Source organism: Homo sapiens, chromosome 3, assembly GCF_000001405.40.
Source record: "Homo sapiens chromosome 3, GRCh38.p14 Primary Assembly".
Lineage (NCBI taxonomy): Eukaryota > Metazoa > Chordata > Mammalia > Primates > Hominidae > Homo > Homo sapiens.
The window spans coordinates 12,874,928-12,896,231 of NC_000003.12; the positions used below are offsets into that span (position 1 = coordinate 12,874,928).

The 21,304-nt window shown below is 51.5% G+C and overlaps 2 long non-coding RNA genes across 5 annotated transcripts in view, besides 7 other annotated features; one reads left to right on the forward strand and one right to left on the reverse strand.

Annotated features, from left to right (window-relative positions):
* Positions 1,104–1,343: a silencer, noted in NCBI's record as "silent region_14072". NCBI's record gives its function as "represses an Ori minimal core promoter by ATAC-STARR-seq in GM12878 lymphoblastoid cells {active_cell/tissue: GM12878}" and the evidence as "EXISTENCE:reporter gene assay evidence [ECO:0000049][PMID:35858748]".
* Positions 1,104–1,750: a biological region, named in NCBI's record as "H3K4me1 hESC enhancer GRCh37_chr3:12917663-12918176".
* Positions 1,237–1,750: an enhancer, noted in NCBI's record as "H3K4me1 hESC enhancer chr3:12917663-12918176 (GRCh37/hg19 assembly coordinates)". NCBI's record gives its function as "activates a minimal SCP1, AML or CMV promoter by ChIP-STARR-seq in naive H9 embryonic stem cells {active_cell/tissue: H9 hESC(naive)}" and the evidence as "EXISTENCE:reporter gene assay evidence [ECO:0000049][PMID:30033119]".
* Positions 1,417–21,304, forward strand: part of LOC105376956 (uncharacterized) — a 66,549-nt gene continuing 46,661 nt past the window's right edge. Inside the window, exons 1-6 of one of the 4 annotated variants that reach the window (XR_940599.2) lie at positions 1,417–2,263; positions 2,635–3,460; positions 4,228–4,466; positions 7,151–7,439; positions 8,876–9,078; positions 9,876–12,659. This is a non-coding gene — a long non-coding RNA (uncharacterized LOC105376956). Of the gene's footprint in view, positions 2,264–2,634; positions 3,461–4,227; positions 4,467–7,150; positions 7,440–8,875; positions 9,079–9,875; positions 12,660–19,336; positions 19,423–21,304 lie in introns of those variants that run through there. The other 3 variants (XR_940600.2, XR_940602.4, XR_940601.4) reach the window with 3 other exon arrangements.
* Positions 1,751–2,263: an enhancer, noted in NCBI's record as "H3K4me1 hESC enhancer chr3:12918177-12918689 (GRCh37/hg19 assembly coordinates)". NCBI's record gives its function as "activates a minimal SCP1, AML or CMV promoter by ChIP-STARR-seq in naive and primed H9 embryonic stem cells {active_cell/tissue: H9 hESC(naive and primed)}" and the evidence as "EXISTENCE:reporter gene assay evidence [ECO:0000049][PMID:30033119]".
* On the reverse strand, positions 2,595–10,284 carry LINC02022 (long intergenic non-protein coding RNA 2022). Its single transcript, NR_136189.1, has 3 exons — positions 9,932–10,284; positions 3,978–4,066; positions 2,595–2,787 (listed from the first exon to the last, which is right to left on the reverse strand). It is a non-coding gene; the product is annotated as a long intergenic non-protein coding RNA 2022 (long non-coding RNA).
* Positions 6,999–7,128: an enhancer, noted in NCBI's record as "active region_19456". NCBI's record gives its function as "activates an Ori minimal core promoter by ATAC-STARR-seq in GM12878 lymphoblastoid cells {active_cell/tissue: GM12878}" and the evidence as "EXISTENCE:reporter gene assay evidence [ECO:0000049][PMID:35858748]".
* Positions 10,034–10,163: an enhancer, noted in NCBI's record as "active region_19457". NCBI's record gives its function as "activates an Ori minimal core promoter by ATAC-STARR-seq in GM12878 lymphoblastoid cells {active_cell/tissue: GM12878}" and the evidence as "EXISTENCE:reporter gene assay evidence [ECO:0000049][PMID:35858748]".
* Positions 10,254–10,343: an enhancer, noted in NCBI's record as "active region_19458". NCBI's record gives its function as "activates an Ori minimal core promoter by ATAC-STARR-seq in GM12878 lymphoblastoid cells {active_cell/tissue: GM12878}" and the evidence as "EXISTENCE:reporter gene assay evidence [ECO:0000049][PMID:35858748]".

A 21,304-nucleotide genomic window follows, 5' to 3' on the forward strand; every position in this document is an offset into this window, starting at 1 on the left:
CTCCAGAGAAGAGGTGGGGCCTGTGGGGCATTTTGATTACACTCCAAGTCTAATTCCCAGTCCAGCAATCCTGCCCCCAGAGGCTCCCTTCATCTGTCCACTTGGCCAAGGAAGGGGCGGGTTGGCCCACGACCCCTGCCTGGCTGCAGACAACATCAGAAGGGTGTCCATGTAGTGGGGGCCCCAGAACAATGTCTGCATGGAAAGGGTCCAAGGAGCTGGAGCCCTTTAGCCTCAAGAAGAGCATGAGGCACCCAGCACCCTTCTGAAACCTAAACCAAATTCTGGCCTGAGCCATTTTCACCGTCTGTGCCCTAGAAGGTTGTGAGGCCTCGAAGTGGGTCTTCCTGTTTCCCTGTCTTCTGAGGCCCAGGCCTTTCTCAGAGCCTCCATGGGTCCCACCCCTGTACCCATCACATGGTGTCTGGGCCCTGCCTGCCTGGCTCACACCCCTCACCCTGCTGCCCTATTTCCATCCCTGAAACAGTCCACTGGACACTGCCATTCCCTCTCTTAAAATACTTTCACAGGCCCTGACCGTCCCTTGGTCAATCTAGTGAATGTCACCCCCTCAAAGAAACCCTCCCTGAGCACCCCATCCGCAGTAGGGTCACCCCCATCTTCCACCTTCACTTTTCCTGGTGTCTCCTTCCTAGCCCCTATCTCTATGGGAGTTTTCTTCAGATAGACTAGACTCCCTCGCCCACCCGGGGGGGCCAGCGGGTCTGTCTTCTCTGTCCCTGCACACCAGAGATGATCAATGATCAGTTGCTGACATCAATGAAACAGGAAGGCCCCAGAGGTGCTGGGAGCCGTTCACTGCAGGTGAGAAGGAACCTTGAGGAAGTGGAGAGGACCCGAGTTAGTGTCCTCTCCCCACCCGAAGGGTCAGCTCCTGGCAGCTCTGCGACTCTGTGGCTTGGGGCGCCTCTCCCCTGTGCCCTTGACGGGTGGCCTGCAGGGGACGCGGCCGCACTCGGTCGGCTGTGGTCCTGCAGCAGCCGCGTCCGGGCGAGCGGCACTTAGGAAAGACAAACTCCAAAACCCAGGGCTCCAAAGGACCCATGGGAAGGTCGGGAGGCTCAGGAGAGTGACCCCGCGTCTGGGCCAGCGCTTTGAGGACCCTGTGGACCCAGCGGAGAGGGCCCGGGTGAGGGCTCTGGAGGCGCTGAGCAGGGCCGGGAGCCACGGGACCCGCAGAGGGCGCCCGTCCGCGTGGGGGCAGCAGCGTCTGGAGGGAGGTGGCCCCGGCCGCCCTCAGAAATCAGGCTCAGCCCGGGGGTCCCTGGCTCCGCCTCCCAGGCCGGGCTCTCTTTGCCCAGGCTGGGCGGGGCTGATGGCCGTTGGAAGCCCCGCCCCCCGCCGCTCACCACCTTGTGGCCCCGCTTCCGTCTCCATGGAGACCCGATGCAGCTGGACAGCCTGTCAGCGGCTGCTCTGGAGCCTGGGGCCTGCTCCGTGCGCCCTGTCTGCCCTCCGCGGGCCGTGCTGTCCAGGCTGGCCCGACAGCCTGACTCGAGACACCGGGATGCCTGTCCACGCCTCCACTCCCGGGCCACTTCCCCGTGGGGCGGGCAGTGGGGCAGGGCGGGGTGGGAATCTGCTGCAACCAGGGAAGGGAATTGCCCCCCGGGCACAGAGAGTTTGGAGCCTGGGGTACTGTCACCAACAGCCCAGGACCCCGCAGCTGGGCCCTCCCCTAGAGTCTTCCTGCAGCAGGGCTCTCCTCCCGAAGGGCTGTGAATGTTCCTCGGAGGTGGGGCTAAGCTAGAGCCCAGAGGTTTGCCCTGGGCACGGATCCCCCAGGTCACTCGCCTCCCATGGGCTGCAGTGAAGGAGGCTTTGAAGGGAGGATGGCCGCCTCCTCCCCTGCAAGGATATGAGCCCCAGGGAAGGCATTCCTGCTCTGGGGATTGCCTCCCTCCCAGACATCACAGCCAGCCCTTGCAGAAGCTTGGCCAAGCTGACCACTCTGTCAGTGATCTCTGCAAGGGAAGCTGAAAGAACATCCAGCCCCAATTGTGTTCCCTTTCTGCCTCAGGCTAGGCCATATCTAGGCCTATCAGGGAAGTTGGTCTCTTCATGAGCCCCCCTGCACAGACGTCTAAATGTCCAGAGTCCCAACAGAATAACAAAGGGTTAAAAACCATCTCCATATTGAAGCAGGCCGAGCTGAAGGCTGACTTCTAGGGTGCCCTAGAATGGTGGAAGCTGCACACACCTGACACCACCTAGCAGAGTTGGCTTCCAGAGGAACCTTTCGGTGGGTACCCACTGACCACAGGATGCAGGCCTTCAAGATGTGCCTTCAAGACCTCTGTTCCTGATGTGCCGTCAGGACCTGCGCCATGGGCACCTGCTGGCCTCCCCATTGCTGGAATCCATTTGTGCAGCCCCTGTGGTGATGTGCACACTGGGACTGGTGTTCCCAACTTGCCTGATCATAAAACCACTGGGGACCCGTTCCGTGGAACCAATACTCTCCACACCTCAGGGGCCTTTCTTGTCCGTGCATCTGTACCTCTGTTACCTCTGTCTGGGATGCTTTTCCACTCAAATTTTGTCCCAAGAAAACCCCTTCTGCAACAAGAAAAGCAAATCAAAAGCCAACGGCATTTATTATATCTTTCCCAGGGGCCATAGGCTTGCAGGCCTACCTGGCCAGGCAGATGATCCAAATCTGCCTGAGAGGCATGAGGTGAGGAGCTGGTGCTGGAGGGTATGGTGGCCCTGCCAGGGAGCATCTGTGGTTCCAGCGGCTGCAGCAAGCAGAATGGAGGCCTGGGGCTGCAAGACGTTTTGAAGAGACACAGGAATCAGCATTTTTGTACATGATCTTGGGTGTGTGTGTGTGTGTGTGTGTGTGTGTGTGTGTGTGTTAAACACTGGAGTCATAAAACTTCAGATTAAAAGAAAAACTGCAGAACATAAAACAAAACCCACCTGCAGCTCAGGGCTGGCCTGCAGGCCGCCTGTGACTGGTGCAATTTCCCACCTGTGCTGCCCGTGACCATGGTAAGTCTCCACTGCACACCCCACGGACACAGTCTCAGTCTGTGGCTGCAGCCCCGAGTGTCACAGAGGTCCCTCCCCATTGCCAGGGCTGTCTGACCCTGAGTCTGTGAGCTCCTGTGGGACAGGCGTCAGCTTCTTGACCTGGTTTTCCTTCATAACTGCTCTCTGAGGGTAGTGGCTGGCCAGAGATCCTTTGCCGAATGGATCCTGGAATCCAGCCCTGGTCCCTAGGCCTCTCCCCACTAGAGCTACTTGTCATTGGCAGGCTGGCCACCAGGCCATGCTCTTCTTCCCTTGACTTTCTGTCCCAGGCCTGGAAGGAAGCATCCAGAAGACTCCTCCTAGCACCACAGGACCCAGAGAGCAAGACAACAGAGCAGCAGGGTCACACCCTGGCTTGCAGGGCCAGCTTCTGGCAACTGCCACAGGCCTGCCACACTCAGCCGTAGGTTCCCAAACGCAGCCCAGAACAGCTGCAACTCCTTCTTGGGCCTCCTCTGACTGGTCTATGTGCTAACTAGCAACCTGCCTCTGTCCACAACCCAGGACCCCATGTAGACACAGCAGCTCAGAGGTCTCACTGTTCCTGGGAGCCCCTGCCTCCTCCAGACCTCAGCCCTGCCTGCCTCCAGAGGGGACAGTAGAATTACAACTTCCTCCAGGAAACATATTCACAAACATACTAGAAGGGCCAGGTGGAAGAGCAGTTCTGCTGGCTTTGGGCCTTGAGGTGTTGCGGGATTTTTAAGGAATCAGAGAGACCAATGGGGCTCAGGAGGATATTTATTAATTACTTAGGTGCACCGGCCCAGTCGGATTAACATCCAAAGGACTGAGCCCCAAACGAAGAGTTAACTTTTAAGCATTTTGTGGGTTGGGGGAGATTTGTGCAGGGGAAATACTACAGAAGTGAGAAACAAAGACAGTTATTCAATTGAAACATGCATTACATGATTTCTTACTTTTCTAGGAAAACGTGTTTTGCAACTTGAGTTTATCTGTCTAGTGACCTTGCAGCTGCACAGCTAGGGAAACAGGGTCTTCACAATGCCTGGGAAAGGAGGAGAGATAAGGCTCAACAGCCACAGAAAAACAGGCAGTTAATTTTAAAGGACTCCAGCTCTTTCTCTTTCTCAGAGGGAATTAGGTTTTCTTACATACAACTGAGTTTCTGCTTACACATTCTTTAATTTCTTTTAATTCCTGTTCCAGATGAAGAAAGAAGGGATTTCTTTTCCCACACAGAAACACCCCAAGCAGGAACAGAAACAGATCTTTTGTGCCCACCAATATGTGTCTGTCTTGCCCAGCCTGTCATTGTCCAGGGCTGTGGGTAGTGGAGGAGCCACTGGTTCTTGACTAGTTCTGCAGAAGCCCTGGGTCAAAGGCCTCCGCTGACAGCATCCAGAAGTGTGTGCTTCTCCATCCTGGCCACACTCTCAAATCACTGGGTAAGCCTTCAACACACCAGTGGTTCTCTCAGTCCAAGGAAATCCATGGTGCTGAAGATGGGGCCTAGGCATGAAGTTTTCTTAAAGCTCCAGCTCTCTAGTGAGTTTCCTGCCTTGGCACTCCCGGAGGCATTGCCTGGGCAACTCAGGGGCCTGCAGCCCTACCCAAGGCAGAGCTCCAGGGACTTGCGGGGTCAAAGGTGCCTGGGCAAGCTTCCCAGCATCCCAGTTTCCACACTGGCCACAGGGGTGAGAGCGACTGAGGTTGTGAAGAAAGGAAGGCCACTGACTTTCCAGGCCCTGCTCCACTGGGGAGGGGGGTGCCTGGGGGGCTTCTCTGCACTCTTTGTCTACAGCTTCCTTCAGCAGCAAAGCTGGCTGGAGTTGCCAGGGGATGCTTGCACAGCCTTACGGACCAAGAAATGAGTCCTAACTCACGTGTCCTCCCATACTGAGTAAAAATCTCTGGCCCCCACCATGATTCAGAGCCTGAAGTTCCAGAAACTCAGGAGGCTCAGCACCAGAACTCAGGAGCTCTCAGCCTGGGTGGACCCCTGGGTTTCTTTTCTTTTTTTTTTTTTTCTTTTGAGACAGAGTCTTGCTTTGTCACCCACCCAAGCTGGGCTGCAGTGGCGTGATCTCAGCTCACTGCAACCTCCGTCTCCCGGGTTCAAGTGATTCTCCTGCCTCAGCCTCCTAAGTAGGTGGGATTGCAGGTGTGTGCCACCACACCTGGGTAATATTTGTATTTTTAGTAGAGACAGGGTTTTGTCATGCTGGCCAGGCTGGTCTCGAACTCCTGACCTCAGGTGATCCACCCGCCTCAGCCTCCCAAAGTGCTGAGATTACAGGCGTGAGCCACCGCACCCGGCATGGAGCCCTGGGTTTCTATCCTTTTGCCCCCTATGCTGGGTGAGCCCCCAAGGCCAGTGCAGCCACTGGGAGGGCTGACAGCAAAAGGGCCACCAGTTTGGGGCTCAGAGACACATGGGAAGGGTGCAGATGCAGAGGCAGCTGGGGTTTTTGTGAGGCAAAGCCTCATTTTCAAGTTCATGGGCTTTAGGCACTCATTGATTTTTTACTTTTTTTCCCTCAGCAGTTTCCTATTTTTTATTAATTAAAAAAGTATCAAACATACATAAAATTTACCATTTTATGTGTCCATCTCAGCATCATTAAATATATTCATAATGTTGTGCAAACATCACCACTGTTTATTTCCAGAGCTTTTCCATCATCCCAAAGAGAAATCGTGTGCCCCTTAAAGAGTAATTCTCCATTCCCCCTGACACCACTCTGTTCTATTTTTGTCTCTATGAATTTTCCTATTCTAGGTACTTCCTAAGAGTGGAGTGATACAATATTTGTCCTGTGTTAGGCTTATTTCCCAAAGAATAACGTTTTCTTTTTTCTTTTGAGACAGATTCTCTCTTTGTTGCCCAGGCTGGAGTGTAGTGGCGTGATCACAGCTCACTGCAGCCTCTAACTCCTGGACTCACAGGATCCTCCCAAGTAGCTGGGACTATAGGCTCATGCCACCAAGCTCAGCTAATTTTTAACTTTGCATAGAGACAGGGCCTTGCTATGTTGCCCAAGCTGGTCTCGAACTCCTGGCTTCAAGTGATCCTCCTACTTCAGCCTCCTAAAGTGCTGCAGTTTTAGGCATCAGCCACTGCACCCAGCCTGGACATTTCATTGAAATGGAATCATAAAACATGCAGTCTTTTGCAACTGGCCTCCTTCACCTAGCACCTATGTTGCAGCATGTGTCACTAATTTATTCCTTCTTATAGCTGAATAATATCCTAATACATGGATAAATTACATTTTGTTTATTCACTTATCAGTGGATGGACATTTGAGTTGTTCCTGCTGTTTAGCTGATATAAATAGCAATGTTTTACATTCCCACCAGTACCTAGGAATATGTTTAATATGAAAGGCAAAGAATTCTATATAAATCAATTATAGCCTAGGTGTGCCTGTAGTCCCAGTTACTTAAGAGGCTATCGTGGTAAAATCGCTTGAGCCCAGAAGTTCGAGGCTGCAGTGAGTGATGACTGCACCACTGCGTATCAGCCTCAATGACAGAGCAAGACCCTGTCTCTAAAAAATAAACCAATCAATCTTACTGAAGGAACTGTAACAAGACCTAAAATAGTATCATGGGCGGAATGTTTATGTTCCTCCAAAATTCCTGTGCTGAAGCCCTAACCTTCGGGTGGCTGTGTTTGGAATAAGGAAGGCAGGAAGGTTAAATGATGTTACAAGGTGGGGCCCTGATCTGAGATAATTTGTGTCCTTCTAAGAAGAGGGCCTTATACGAAGAGGTGACACCAGGGCGGGTGCGGTGGTTCACGCCTGTAATCCCAACACTTTGGGAGGCCAAGGCGGGTGGATCACCTGAGGTCAAGAATTCGAGACCAGCCTGGCCAACATGGCGAAACCCCGTCTCTCCTACAAATACAAAAATAGCCGGGCGTGGTGGTGGGTGCCTGTAATCCCAGCTACTCGGGAGGCTGAGGTAGGAGAATTGTTAGAACCCTGGGGGCGGGGGTTGCAGTGAGCCAAGATGGCGCCACTGCACTCCCGCCTGGGCGACAGAGTGAGACTCCATCTCAAAAAAAAAAGAAGAAGTGACACCAGAGACACCTTGCTCATGTGTCCTCTCTCTGTGCACACAGCGGAAAGGGCATGGGAGAACACAGTGAGAAGACAGCAGTCTGAGAGCCCGGAAGAGCGCCCTCACCAGAAACCAAATGTGTCAGCACCTTGCTCAGGGACTTCCAGCCTCCGGAACTGTGAGGAAACAAAATGTCTGTTTTGGAGCCGCCCAGGCTGTGGGGTTTTGGTAAGGCAGCCTGAGCAGACTAATGCAACAGCCTCAACAAAACTGCAATCGATGAGAAAAAAACAGTGGGCTTGAAGAAAAAAATGAATTCCAGTCAAAATCTCAACAGTTTCATTTGGGAGGTGAGATGAGAGAGGAAACAGGTGGGAAAAGAGAGGTAAAAGGCTCGGTTAGTCTCGGGGCTGGAGAAGGTCAAGGTAGTGGACAGAGGCCCCCGGCTGCCGCCGCGGGTTCCGCGACGCTGACCGTGTATGTGACCCAAGAGACTTCTTTACCAAGGCCAGCACGGCCGGGGACCCGGATTTCACCTGGGAGAGACATTAGAGCTGGGGGTGCACATTCTGCAGAGTAGAGGGACCACTGAGTGGCCCATCTCTGGAAGCACCCCCGCTTCAGCCTTACATGCTGGGCTTTCCTCCTGGGGCCTAAGGAGTACGGGTGGGGACCCCTGCCCAGGTCACACTGAGAGGGTGACAGCATACTGGCAGCCCTTGCAGCCCTCGCTCACTCTCGGCGCCTCCTCGGCCTTGGCGCCCACTCTGGCCGCGCTTGAGGAGCCCTTCAGCCCACCGCTGCACTGTGGGAGCGCCTTTCTGGGCTGGCCAAGGCCGGAGCCGGCTCCCTCGGCTTGCGGGGAGGTGTGGAGGGAGAGGCACGGGGCGGGAACCCGGGCTGCCCGTGCGCTTGGGGGCCAGCTAGAGTTCCGGGTGGGCGTGGGCTTGGCGGGCCCCGCACTCGGAGCTGCTGGCCGGCCGCAAGCCCCGGACAGTGAGGGGCTTAGCACCTGGGCCAGCAGGTGCTGTGCTCGATTTCTCGCGGAGCCTTAGCTGCCTCCCAGCGGGGCAGGGCTTGGGACCTGCAGCCCTCCATGCCTGAGCCTCCCCGCCCCCCGCTGTGGGCTGCTGCGCGGCCCGAGCCTCCCGGACGAGCGCCGCTCCCTGCTCCACCGCGCCCAGTCCCATCGACCACCCAAGGGCTGAGGAGTGCGGGCACACAGGCGCCGGACTGGCAGGCACCTCCACCTGTGGCCCCGGTGCGGGATCCACTGGGTGAAGCCAGCTGGGCTCCTGAGTCTGGTGGGGACTTGGAGAATCTTTATGTCTAGCTAAGGGATTGTAAATACACCAATCTGCACCCTGTGTCTAGCTCAGGGTTTGTGAATGCACCAATAGGCACTCTGTATCTAGTTAATCTGTTGGGGACTTGGAGAATCTTTATGTCTAGCTAAGGGATTGTGAATGCACCAATCGGCACTCTGTATCTAGCTCAAGGTTTGTAAATGCACCAATCAGCACCCTATCAAAATGGACCAATCAGCTCTCTGTAAAACAGACCAATCGGCTCTCTGTAAAATGGACCAATCAGCAGGATGTGGGTGGGGCCAGATAAGAGAATAAAAGCAGGCTTCCGGAGCCAGCAGTGGGAACTCGCTTAAGGTCCCTTTGCTGGTTGTGGAATGTTTGTTCTTTTACTTTTTGCACTTAAATTATGCTGCTGCTTAATGTTGGGGTCCACACTGCTTTTGCTGAGCTGTGAGACTTACCATGAAGGCCTGCAGCTTCACTCCTCAGCCAGTGAGACCAGGAACCTACCAGAAGAAAGAAACTCCAAACGCATCTGAAGGTCGGAAGGAGCAAACTCTGGACACGCTGCTTTTAAGAACTGTAACACCATGAGGGTCTGCGGCTTCATTCTTGAAACCAGTGAGATCAAGAACCCACCAATTACAAACACAACACCTCAACAACACCTCATGAGCAGGTAAGGACACCTGGGCACTGCTCAGGGACGGCATGTAGTCTGCAGAGTTGGGAAGCTCTGTCTATACTAAGGGTGTTTTTTGAGGGAAGGGCAAATTGATATGAATGTCGGAATCAAATTCAAGCTCCTTCAATTCTAATCGAGTGCTGCTTTAAAAAAAGCTGGACCAACATGAAGTATCACCAAGCACTACCTCTGTAAGGCAGCAGCCCGAGCTCTGCTCATGGCTGGTCTCCAGCAGCTGCCAGCGGGCTGGCCCTCCTCCCTCATCAGCCATGCTGAGCATTCCCTGCCTTTTCGGGAGAACACGCGGTCACGCGGGCTGCAGTAAGGCAGGAGGAAGGAGCAGGCGGAAATGCTGAGGAACTCCTTGGTTCTCTCACCCCAGAACTCTTCCCAGCCTGCCAGGCTCTGGGCCTGAGGGATCATTCACCCACCAATCCCACCCCGTGACTTAGTCATGGAGGAAGTGAGGCCTGGAGAGAGGGGACTTGTCCCAGCAGGGATTAGGGCTTTCTTCCCTGCTGTGTGGCAGACGCTCCTGCACCGAATTCTGCCATGCCACGCACCACATGCTCACTGGCGCCTTTTTTGGGTTCTCAGTGCTGCCCCCACAAGCTTAACTTGTAGCTGGGGAAGACCAGCAGAGGTCGGAACAATTAATACAATCACGCAGCCTGAGAGAGAGCAGTAGTGCTACGGAAAAAGAGTACTTCAATTTAAAAATTCTAATTGTAAAAATAAATTTTAAAGAGAACTGGCCCAGGACATCCATGCCACATTCCCTCTTCCTCCAGGCCCTTCCTGACGCCCTTGACTCCGGCCTGTCCTGAGGCATGCAGATGCCACTCACCTCCAAGTTCTCCAGAACCTCTGGGACACCAAAGACCCTGACCTCGGAGGTGGTGTAGTGGTTGCTCAGAAGGATTTCAGACTGCTTGGCATAGAGATCTGGGCTGAAGGGTACTGGCCAGCTGGCAAATGACACGGAGTTCAGCCTTGTCCTCACACAGCGAGGGAAGGACGGGGAGGTTTGGAGCTGACAGTCAACAAATGGGTAATGGGCGGCCATTAGTGAAGTGGCAGGAAGTGGGGCAGCACACACAGCGCGAGTTGTTTTGTGTATGAACGGCCAGGCGACGGTGTCTGAACATCTTTCCTTAATTTTGCGAACGGAAACAGGGCACGATGAACCTGGGAACTCACAAAAATGATGAGCATAGAGCTCTGCGGGGTGCGGTAAGAAGGGGGGAGGGGATGAAAATATCTTTGCATGGGGTTTTGACTTGTGAGCCATGCAAGTATTTTACATGTTCAAAACCTACAATTAAGCCCCCAAGGAGGAACAAAAACTCAAACTGTAACTTGTCTTCCTATCCATCCACCGTCACCAGACAGCAGCAGCTTAATGTAGAGGTGGAATGGGTCACTGCAGCCACAGCACACAGCCACCTGGGGACATGGCCTTAGAAGGCCAGGGCTCTGCCTTACAGGGAGCGGTGCATGCTGTGAGCCAGAGACCACCACGTGGTGCTGTCTCCTCCCCAGCAGGGGTCTGCAGCTGGGGGTGCAGGTGGCAGGGGCTCCTCTCATGCTCTTACCTAGTAACCCTTGCACGGAATGTTTGCTTCCTGCCCCAGAAACTTTGAGTTCTGCTTGTTTGGAGGTCTTAGTTTCTACGAGGGAATGCTTCCCCAGAGGAAATCTGGCATGGTTCCAGTGCATTGGAAGATGAGACTTTCCCCTGGCCATGTGGGGCTCCCCAGGCCACTGAAGCAATGGGAGGCAAAAGGGTTTCTCTACTAGCTGGAGAGAGTGATCCCAGTCACCAAGGCTTTGCTACGCAATGGGGACAAGAACCCAGGGGCTTCTCTGGTATATCCATACCCAATGGTAATGGCTCGTGGGAAATTCTAGCAGCCAAAAAAGGACAGTTGAAGAATCAGAGTCCTTAGGAATGATGGTTTCAGTCACACCCCACATAGGAGAAACTTGAGGCCAGGTGCAGTGGATTCATGCCCGTAATCCCGGCACTTCAGGAGGCCAAGGTGGGCAGATCACTTGAGCCCAGGAGTTCAAGGTTACAGTGAGCCATGATTTTGCCACTGCACTTCAGCCTGGGTGACGGTTTCTCTATAAAACCAATTTTAAAGAAACTTGACCGGCTTAGGTCTGTATGAGGGCAGGGGACAATGGAATGGGTTTGGGAAGAAGGAAGCCACAGACATTACCCACAGCTGTGCCTTCCATTAGCAAAGGGAGGGCTGCAGTAGCTTTACTCACTTTCACTTTCCCGGTTACACACGTGTTAGTTGGTTTGTGCTATTTCCTTCTTTCCATTTTTCACTTTCTATACAGGTGTCGATAGGTAACGTTACAATTTAGTCTTCAGGGAACAGAATATTCAGCAGCGCTGTGATGGAATCTGAGGAGTCACTCAGAGCCCCGCCCCCCCACCACCCCATACACAGTGACTGAGGGACTGTGCCTCATTGTGGGCAAGGGGTGAGAAAACCCCTTCGTGATCTGAAGTGTGGCTGTATCTTGGGAGGTGGAAACACAAGGCTGCTTGCTTGTTCTGAATTTCACATGTGCGTGGAAGGTGCATGTGGAAGCTGAGTGTCATATGGTAGCTGGGTTAGAGCCTTTTTGTCTCTCAGCTCCAAAGCCACTGTTCACCGCCTTGCTCTGTGATCATGGCATTGGACTTTGTCAATGTTCTCCTCTGCCAGTTAGCAGAGGTGACACTGGGGGTGCTACGGGAAGAAGGGGCATCCCTCCTGGTTGCACTGGGCAGCGCTCTCTTCCCATCTGCAGCTGCCGTGGGCAAGCAGGGTTCCATGGGGGTGACTTCCCACATGCAATGCCCTGTCTGCCAGCACCCGAGGGACGTCCTGCTTGCCAGTCCTGTCTCACATTCCCATGCCTGCCAGCCCCAGCCTGCTGGCTGCAGCAACTGCCATCTGGGGCATCTGACACGGTCTCCGCCATTCCAAGGGCTGCTTCCACTCCTCCAGTGAGAGCGAGCCTCGGGACCAGAGGAGCGGCCCAAACAACCCTGAGTGTGATGAGAAACCATTGTTACCGTGGCTCTAAGCTAGGAAGTTTTGCGGTGTTTGGCTTTGTAGCAAAAGGTAACTGACACCCCTTTTATTTAGGGGTCTGCCGTTTCTCCAGTGATTTGTCACGCCATCTTCACTGTATCCTAAGTTTCCATTTTATGGAGTCTGTTTCTGGACTTTCCATTCTGTTCAGCTCGTCTGAATCCGCACATACCAATACTGCAGGTTTAATGACAGAAGCTTTCTAGTGTGCTGCAGTGATGTCTGGATGTACCACTAACTCTAAAAACAAACAAAAAAGACTGATTTTCCTGGAGAGTCTTGCCTTGTCAAAACTGGAATTGAAAATAATCTTGACTAGCTCCATTTTTTTAAAAAAACTGAGAAGTATTGACATCTGTATGTTAAATTGTGTTATCTTAAAACTCGGTATATTTCTCAGTGTTTTAATCTTTTCCTCACTTGTCATTATTTTTTGAAGTTATTCCTAGTTATCTTTTTCCTTTTTTTGAGACATGGTCTCTCTGTCACCCAGGCTGGAGTGCAGTGGTGCAATCATGGTTCACTGCAGTCTTAACCTCCTGGCCTCGAGCTATTCTCTTGCCTCAGCCCCCCAGGTAGTTGGGACTACAGCCGTGAGCCACCATGTCCAGCTAATGTTTTTTATTTTTAGGAGAGATGAGGTCTCCCTATGTTGCCCAGGCTGGCCCCAAATTCCTAGACTCAAGTGATGCTCCTGCCTCAGCCTCCCAAAGTGCTAGGATTATGGTGTGTCGCCATGCCCAGCTCCTATATATCTTTTGTAAAAATTTTATCTTGTACATGCATTCTTTTTTCCTTTTATTATTCTTTTAAACTTATTAATGTCTATTGATTCATATACATTAATTTGCTTTTCAGTCATCTTGCTGAGTTTCCTCATTGTGCCTTAACTTTTTCATTGATTTCTTGGGATTTCCAGAAATGCTGTTGTATCATCTGCAAATAGAAATAATTTGCCTCTTTGGTGGGGCACAGTAGCTTATTCCTGTAATCCTAGCACTTTGGGAGGCTGAGGTGGGAGGATCGCTTGAGCTTAGGAGTTTGAGACCAGCCTGGGCAACATAGCGAGACCTCATCTCTACTAAAAATAAAAATTAGCCGGGGGTGGTGGTGCACACCTGTAGTCCCAGCTACTGGGCTGAATGAGGCGGGAGAAACACTTGAGCCCAGGAGGTTGAAGCTGCCGTGAGCTGTGACTGCACCACTGAACTCCAGCCTGGGTGAGAGGGCAAGACTCTTGTCTCAAAAAAAAAAAAAAAGAAAAAAAAATTCACCTCTTCCTTTCTGATTCAGATGCCTCTAACTGCATCTGATTGCATTGGCTGAACCCTTCAACACAGTGTCACAGAGAAGTGAAGATGCTTACCATGTCTTTTCCCTGATTTGCACAGAATGCATTCACTGTTTCTCCATTCAATTAAATTCTGGCTTTTGAACTCAGGTATACTCTATCATTCCCAAAAAAGTATCCACTTATTTAAGTGTTTTATATACCAGGAATTCGTTCTGGATTTTGTTGAAGCCCTTTTGTCAGCCAGGGAAATGATCACTTGGTTTTTCTTATCTTAGTTAAGATGATGGATTTCCTAATATTGAACAGTTCTTGCATTACTGATGTAAAATGCTATTTGGTCATGAGGTATATTAGTTTATATGGAATATGCTACTAGATGTTTGATATGTGTGATATGTGATTCACAATTTTCTATTGGTGACATGCAGCTTTGTATTTATGTAACTTTTATCAGGTCTAGAAAACAGTGCCAAAATCACTGCATAAAAAGCATTGGGAGGCAGGTGCAGTGGCTCACCTTTGTAATCCCAGCACTTTGGGAGGCCGAGGTGGGCAGATCACCTGAGGTCGCCAGTTTGAGATCAGCCCTACCAACATGGAGAAAACCTGTGTCTACTAAAAATACAAAATTAGCTGGGTATGGTGGTGCATGCCTGTAATCCCAGCTACTGGGGAGGCTGAGGCAGGAGGATCACTTGAACTGGGGAGGTGGAGGTTGCGGTGAGCTGAGATGGCACCATTGCACTCCAGCCTGGGTGACGAGTGAATCTCCGTCTCAAAAAAGAAAAGACAAGAAAAAGCATTGGGAAGTTTTCCTTCCTTTGCTGTGATCAGAAACAGTTGTAACAGTGAGATTATCTGGTTGTGAAGGTCAGAAGAATTCCCTGTGAAACAAAATGGGCTAGTTAAGCCGTTAATTACATTTTCTATTTCTCTCATGGGAATTTGTTTAAGATTTCTTTTTCTCCTGAGTCACTTTTGGCTAATTATTCATTTCAAATTTATTTGCATAAAGTCGTTCAAAGTATCATCACTCTAAACATTTTTTCCACTTCAATATTCAGTCCTGTGTTGGTTTCTCATTTTTGGTGTTTCGTTTTCTTGTCACCTTGATTTGGTTAGCTAGAGGTTTGTCTACTTTCTTTTTTCTTTTCCAAGACCAGCTTTTTGTTCATAAGCTTTACTATTTCTTTGTTCTGATTTTTTTTTTTTTTTTTTTTTTTTTTGAGGAGGAGTCTCACTCTGTCTCCCAGGCTGAAGTGCAGTGGTGCTATCTCAGCTCACTGCAACCTCCACCTCCCAGGTTCAATCGATTCTCCTGCCTCAGCTTCCCAAGTAGCTGGGATCACAGGTGTGAGCCACCATGCCCGGCTAATTTTTGTAGTTTTAGCAGAGATGGGGTTTCACCATGTTGGCCAAGCTGGTCTCGAACTCCTGGTCTCAAAGCAGTGTGCCTGCCTCAGCCTCTCAAAGTGCTGAGATTACAGGCATTAGCTGCCACACCCAGCCTTGCTTGTTATTTTGCAACTGTTTCTCCTTTGTTTACTTTAATCTTTTCCTAATTTTGCATTTGATGTTTCTTTTTCATTTTGGATGTAATTTTCTTTGCCTCATTGCTTTAATTGCATCATGGATTCTGATACAAGGTGTTACCATTTTGAACAAATTCTATGGTTGTGGTTTGTATTTGTCCTCTGACCCAAGAGTAATTTAATAGAGTTAGTAACATTTCCAGTAGGGAATTTTTGAGTCTTTAATTTCTAGTTTTACTGTACTGTGATTAGAGAATATGTTTAGATTCTCTCTGCTTTGTGGAATTACTGAAGTTTCCTTTGTGTCTTAATATGTGGCAAGTTTCCATAAACGTTTCAAGGGAGGTTGGAAAGGTGTTTTCTCTGTTATTGAAGCGCAATGCTTGGTATCATATCCATGAGAAACTGAAGGCTTCTAGATAATTTCATTTTGGCCTCTTAACCTGTCTTGGATTCAGAGTGGCAATGTTAACCTTTATGAATGTGTTTTTTTATTCCTACCTATCCTGCAGTTTCCGTTTTTTGAAGACTGCTGTTTTATGTGGTGCATAGATACTCCTGTCATGTCTACATTGGGAATTGCAGCTTCTAGCATTATCAAGTCACTTTCTCATGCATTGTTTTTAAGGCTGATTTCTACCCTGTCACACATCAAGACTGTAACTTGCTTCCTCGTCTAATTTGGCTTCATAGCTTGTACCCCTCCATGCACGTCTTTATGGGTAGCCTTTAGCCTTTCTGAATTTTTGTCTTAGGTGTCCCTCTAGAGTATTGGCAGAGAGTTGGTGGGTTTTGCTTTGTGGTCTGGGGTAGATGGAATGTATTTGTAGTCTATACCCTAGCTATGACTCACTTTATGGCAGGGAACACTTCTCCACCCTCTGACGCTGGGCTGGGCATGGAGCAAAGTGGTCAATGGGATTGTGGTGCACCTGGCGTGAGCAAAGGTGTGCTATGTGCTTGGGGCCAGGCTCATGCTCCTGCACTCCAGCCTATTGCCATGACCAGGACAGGCCTCGACCGGTGGGGTCAGGAGAATGAGGGATATGTGGAGCAGTCCTAGACCCCCTATGGCTCAGACTGACCCAGTTCTAGACCAGGGGAACCCCGTGCATCTGCAGATGGGGGCTGAGAAATCAGTGCTTGTTTCCTGCACACTTTGGGGTTGCCAGAGAACTAGGGTGGCGGTAGCTTATGGATACAAGGTCTTCAAAGACCTTTCTCTTAGCAGGGGAGCTAGGTATACTTGCATTTTGATGTAGCTGGTGTCTTTGGTTTGTTCTGGAAGGTTGTTTGCCGTTGTGAATTCACTATGTGGAGTATGGCGTCCTCGTGTGGCTTTCATTCTGAAGACTGGTCTGTTCCACTCTCCCTTTTTGGCTTGGTTATTTTTTTTTTTCTGTATTTAGGAAGGCTTTATTTTTGTTCTGGAGCTGTATTAGTCAGTGTTCTCCAGAGAAAACTGAACAAATAGGACAAACACACACACTCACACACTCATGAGGGGATTTATTGTGGGAATTGATTGGTTCATGCCCTTCAGGAGGCCAGGAAGCCCCAGGATATGCCAGTGGCAAGCTGGAAAACCGGAAAGCCCATGGTGCAATTCAGTTCGAGTCCAAAGGCCTAAGAACCAGAACAGCTGGTGGTGTCCCTCTCAGTCCCAGGCCACAGGCCTGAGAACCTGGGGGCTTCTGGTTTAAGACATGGGGTCCAGAGGCCCAAGAACCTGGAGTTCTCATACGCAAGGGCAGGAGAAGGTGGATGTCCCAGGTCAAGCATAGAACAAATTTCCCCTCCTTCCTCCTGTTGGTTGTATCTGGGCCTCAGCAGATTGAAGCAGGCTTGCTCACACTGGCGCGGGTGGCCCTCAGTCAGTCCACTGGGTCAAGTGCTCATCTCTTCCAGAACCCCCCCACAGAAACACGAGAAATCACGTTCTCCCTGCTCCCTGGACATCCCTTAGCCTAGTCAAGCTGACTGCTAAAATGAGCCATCACAAGGGCTGCCTTGGTAATAGTGACTTCTGCTAATGCCCACGGTGCCCGCTTTTCCTAACTGGCCTTGTGCTATCATTGAGCACTGTCAGCTGCAATAAAATCACCCGACTCTCACCTGCTAACAGTGCAGCAGCGGATCGGCTGACTGCCTTTCCCTTTCTCTTCCTTCTCTTCCAGTTTTTTGAATGCGTGGGTGCTTTTCTGGGTTTGGTAGTGCAATCATGCCCTCTTGCGCTGCTAAGGTGAATTGCAGTTCCCGTAATAAAAGATACTTTTAGGTGGGCTTGGTGAATCTTTGACAGCATCTCTGTGATGAGGCCCCCCTCTTAGCTGCTTCTTTCTTGCCCTTCATCACCAAAGCTCCCGGACACCCTTGCGAGGTGCTTCTGGCCCGATGGCCTGTCCAAGTGCTTCCTGTAGCTCTTGCTTAGCAGGCTGCCTTTCTCCTCTCAGGGCGGCTCCCTCCTCCTGCTCTGTGCATCGCGCCTCCACAGGGACCACCCATTTCCTCCGGCTGTGCATCCCCCACTGGCTGCCCCTGGCACCCACCCAGGACCTCCACGGGGACCCCCTCATTCCTTTCCGCTGTGTACCCCCCACCCCTGCACCCCCCCCAGGACCTCCACAGGGACCTTCTATCCCCTCCAGCTGTGCACCCCCCCCACCCCACCCAGGACCTCCAAGGGGACCCTCACCTCCTCCAGCTACACATGCCCCCCTGCCCCTGCATCCCACCCAGGACCTCCATGGGGACTCCCCACCCCGTCCATCTGTGCAGCCCCCTGCCCTTGCACCCTACCCAGAACCTCCATGAGGACCCCCTCAATCCCCTCCCACTGTGCATCCTCCCCTGCCCCTGCACCCCCCCACAACCTCCACAGGGACTCCCCACCCTCTCCTGCTGTGCAACCCCCACCCCTGTACCCCCCTGACAACCTCCACAGGGACCCTCCACCCTCTCCCATTGTGCACCCCCCCACCCCTTCACCCCACCCACAACCTCCACAGGGACCCCCACCCTCTCCCACTGTGTACCCCCCTGTACCCCACCCACAACCTCCACAGAGACTCTCCACCCTCTCCCACTGTGCACCCCCCCAACCCCTGCACCCCACGCACAACCTCCACAGGGACTCCCCACCCTCTCCCGCTGTGTACCCCCCTGCCCCTGCATCTCACCGGCAAGTGATTCTACATCAACTCTGCTGCTCTAAGATGTTGATTTTCCCACTGACCTTTAAGTGAATTTTGTGGTTCTTGCTCTTTCCCAAACACAGTGTAGGTCTGACAGCTATAGGTGACTGTTTCTTTGCTTTGGAGACTTGGTCTTGCGCTGTGGCCCAGGCTGGAGTGCAGTGGGGTGATCATGGCTCATGTAGCCTTGACCTCACTGGTTAAAGCAATCCTCCTACCTCAGCCTCCAGAGTAGCTGGGAACACAGGCAGGCACCACCATGCCTGGTTAATGTTTTGATATTGTAGAGATGGAGGTCTCACTATGTTGCTCAGGCTGGGATTACAGGGGTGAGTCACAGCATGTGGCCCCTCCTTGTTCTTTGAAAAGTTCTCAGAGGGTGTGAGAAGAGATTCCAATTCAGGTATTATCCTCTGGTATTTTCATTTTAGAATGTGTTCTTCCCTATTAACTACATAGAAAATGACAAAGTGCTTCAGGTCCTACGTATCAGATTTAATTGGAACACTTTACTGTGGAGGTGGGGGTGGGGTGTGGTTAGGAATAATAGACAAGAAAAGCTTTCCCTGAGGGCCTTGAAAGTCCTGAAGCTCCACGTTAGAAATGAGGGTGGGTGATCTTCACCCCATGCCTACAAGCAGCAGCCGCCAGGTCTTTATCACAGGCCTGCTCTGGGCTGAGCGGTGAGATGGGGTCTCTTGAAAAGTGGGCACTGAACTGAATGCACTGAGCTAAGAGGCATCTCAGGGGATACCTGGCCTCCAGCAGCACCAAAACGGGGTCCATGGTCATCCCAGGGACTCAGCATTGTGGTCGAACCATGGTGTCCCCCTCTCCAGGCTCCAGTCCTCGCCAGAATCACCAACTCTGCCAGAAACTCGATTATTTCTTTCCGTTTGTTCCTTGTTTGCCAACACAACACTGTCTGCATGGCAACACGTTATGGGACATCCGTAAGGTGGAATGTTATGCAGACGTTATAAATTGTCGAGTCTTCCACTGCCTCATCACAGTGGATTAAGGGAAAAAGAATAGCATTTACACACACACACACTGTTACTAAACTGTATTCTGTAGAGTGCACAGGCTGTTGTTCAGAGATTTATTCATATATGCACACCATCTTTTCCAAAGGCTCTAAAAGGTCCAGCAGAAAGAAACGCATTGAACTGCGTGCAATGCATCGTTCCCTAGAGGTGTGTGACCGATGACACTTTCCACGTGGGGCACCAAGCAACACTGACAGTACCGTTTGGGAAGCACTTCAGAGATGTAAACTAGGTGACTGAGAAATATGTATGGAGGGACGGTGGAAGAACAGTTGGCCACATACTCAATTATACGTGATTTGAGGTAGTGAGCTTATGGGGACTTTTTTTTCCTGTTTTTCATCAATCTATTCTCACTACATTTACTACATGTTAAAAGACACTCGACATAAGTTAAAACACAATGTCTAAAAGCCTCTGACCACTGCCCCAATTTTTACTTAACAAGGCATGCCAGCGGGCCCCAGAGCCTTGCCAGCACGGTCCCCACCTCATGTTCTGGGCCCTGATCTCATGTTGCCGCCACATGGTGTCATGCGTTGTAGCACATTTCCTGCTGTGCTCCCAAAGCATTCACTTAGGAAATCCACTTTGTGCTCCATGTTGAGATTACAGTATGTACAAAGACAGACACTGTCTTGACTTTTTGACCTTTACTGTCAAAGGACATGCATGAACAGTAACAAAACAATCAAGGCTGGTACGGCTGGAATGTGAGGGGAATGTGACTGTTGAGGGGCAGGCAGGGGCCATGTGAAGGATGGGATTTCTTTCCTCCTAAGGGCAACAGGAAATCACCGATAGGGCTTTAAGCAGGAGCACCTTAAAAAAATGACTCCATGTCTAGGCAGCTGGGTGTAGTGGCTCACGGCTGTAAAGTCAGCACTCTGGGAGGCCAAGGTGGGAGGATCGCTTGAGCCCAGGAGTTCGAGATCAGCCTGGGCAACATAGACCCCGTCTCTACAACAAAAAACACTATAGTCAGGTATGGTGGTACGCCTCTGTAGTCACAGCTACTCAGGAGGCTGAGGGGGGAGGATCACAGGTGGTCAGGGCTGCAGTGAGCCGTGATTGCCCCACCACACTCCAGCTTTGCCAACAGAGCAAGACCCGTGTGGGGAATAGACAGGGGTCCCCCCAGGAAGGCCAGTGCCAAGGCAGGGAGCTCTAGTCGAGGAGAGAGACATGAGGGCCTGCAGTGGGGTGAGACGTGAAGAGACTCAGATGGATTCCAGAAGAAGCAGGAGGCACAAATCAAGAGTTCGGGGAAAGACGGACAGGACACCAGGGAGAAAGTCACGAGCAACCCCAGGTCCTGGTTTAAATAGGTCAATGGTGATGTCATTCACCAGGACAGGGAACAGAGGAGAGGACCGGGTTTCCGCTGCATGGGGCTATACGGTGAAGAACATGGTCATGGAGGGCTTGCAGGGCTGGGCTGTCAGAAACACCAAGGGGACATGGGTGCCCAGAGTAGAGGTCTGGGCTGGAGATGACATGTGGAAGCCAGGGGCATGGAGAAGGTGGACTGAAACCGTGGGCTTGTGTGAGGGTGCCTCAGGAGAGGGGAAAGGGAGGAAGAGGGCTTGGACTTGACCTAAGCCACACACGAGCTCCGTGGAGGAGGACTGGCCTGCACAGGAGACTGAAGGAGTCTCCAGAGAGCAGAAAGGGCACATGGCCCAGAGGTGCCCGGGAACCAGCATTTCAAGGAGGCAGGCACGAACAGTCACAGCTGCCGAGGGGTCAGGGAAGCTAAACATGTTCCTGGGATTCGGTGGCACAGAAGTCACATGCAGCCAGGGAGGAGGAAGAACCATGATCTCAAGGTCTGAGTCAGGTGTCTCCCAGCCAGACTTAAGTGTTAAGGGAAGTGGGGGGGATGAGCAAACCGGTTTCCATACGTTTTTTAATTATGTCAGTGATCGGTATTCTCAAACACCAGCTGCTGCTGGTGGTGTGACCTGAACCCCTGCCTCTTCCAGCCATCCATTAATTTTCAGATAGATGCATGCCGACAAGCCCAGTCCTGGGGCTGTCACTGGACACACAC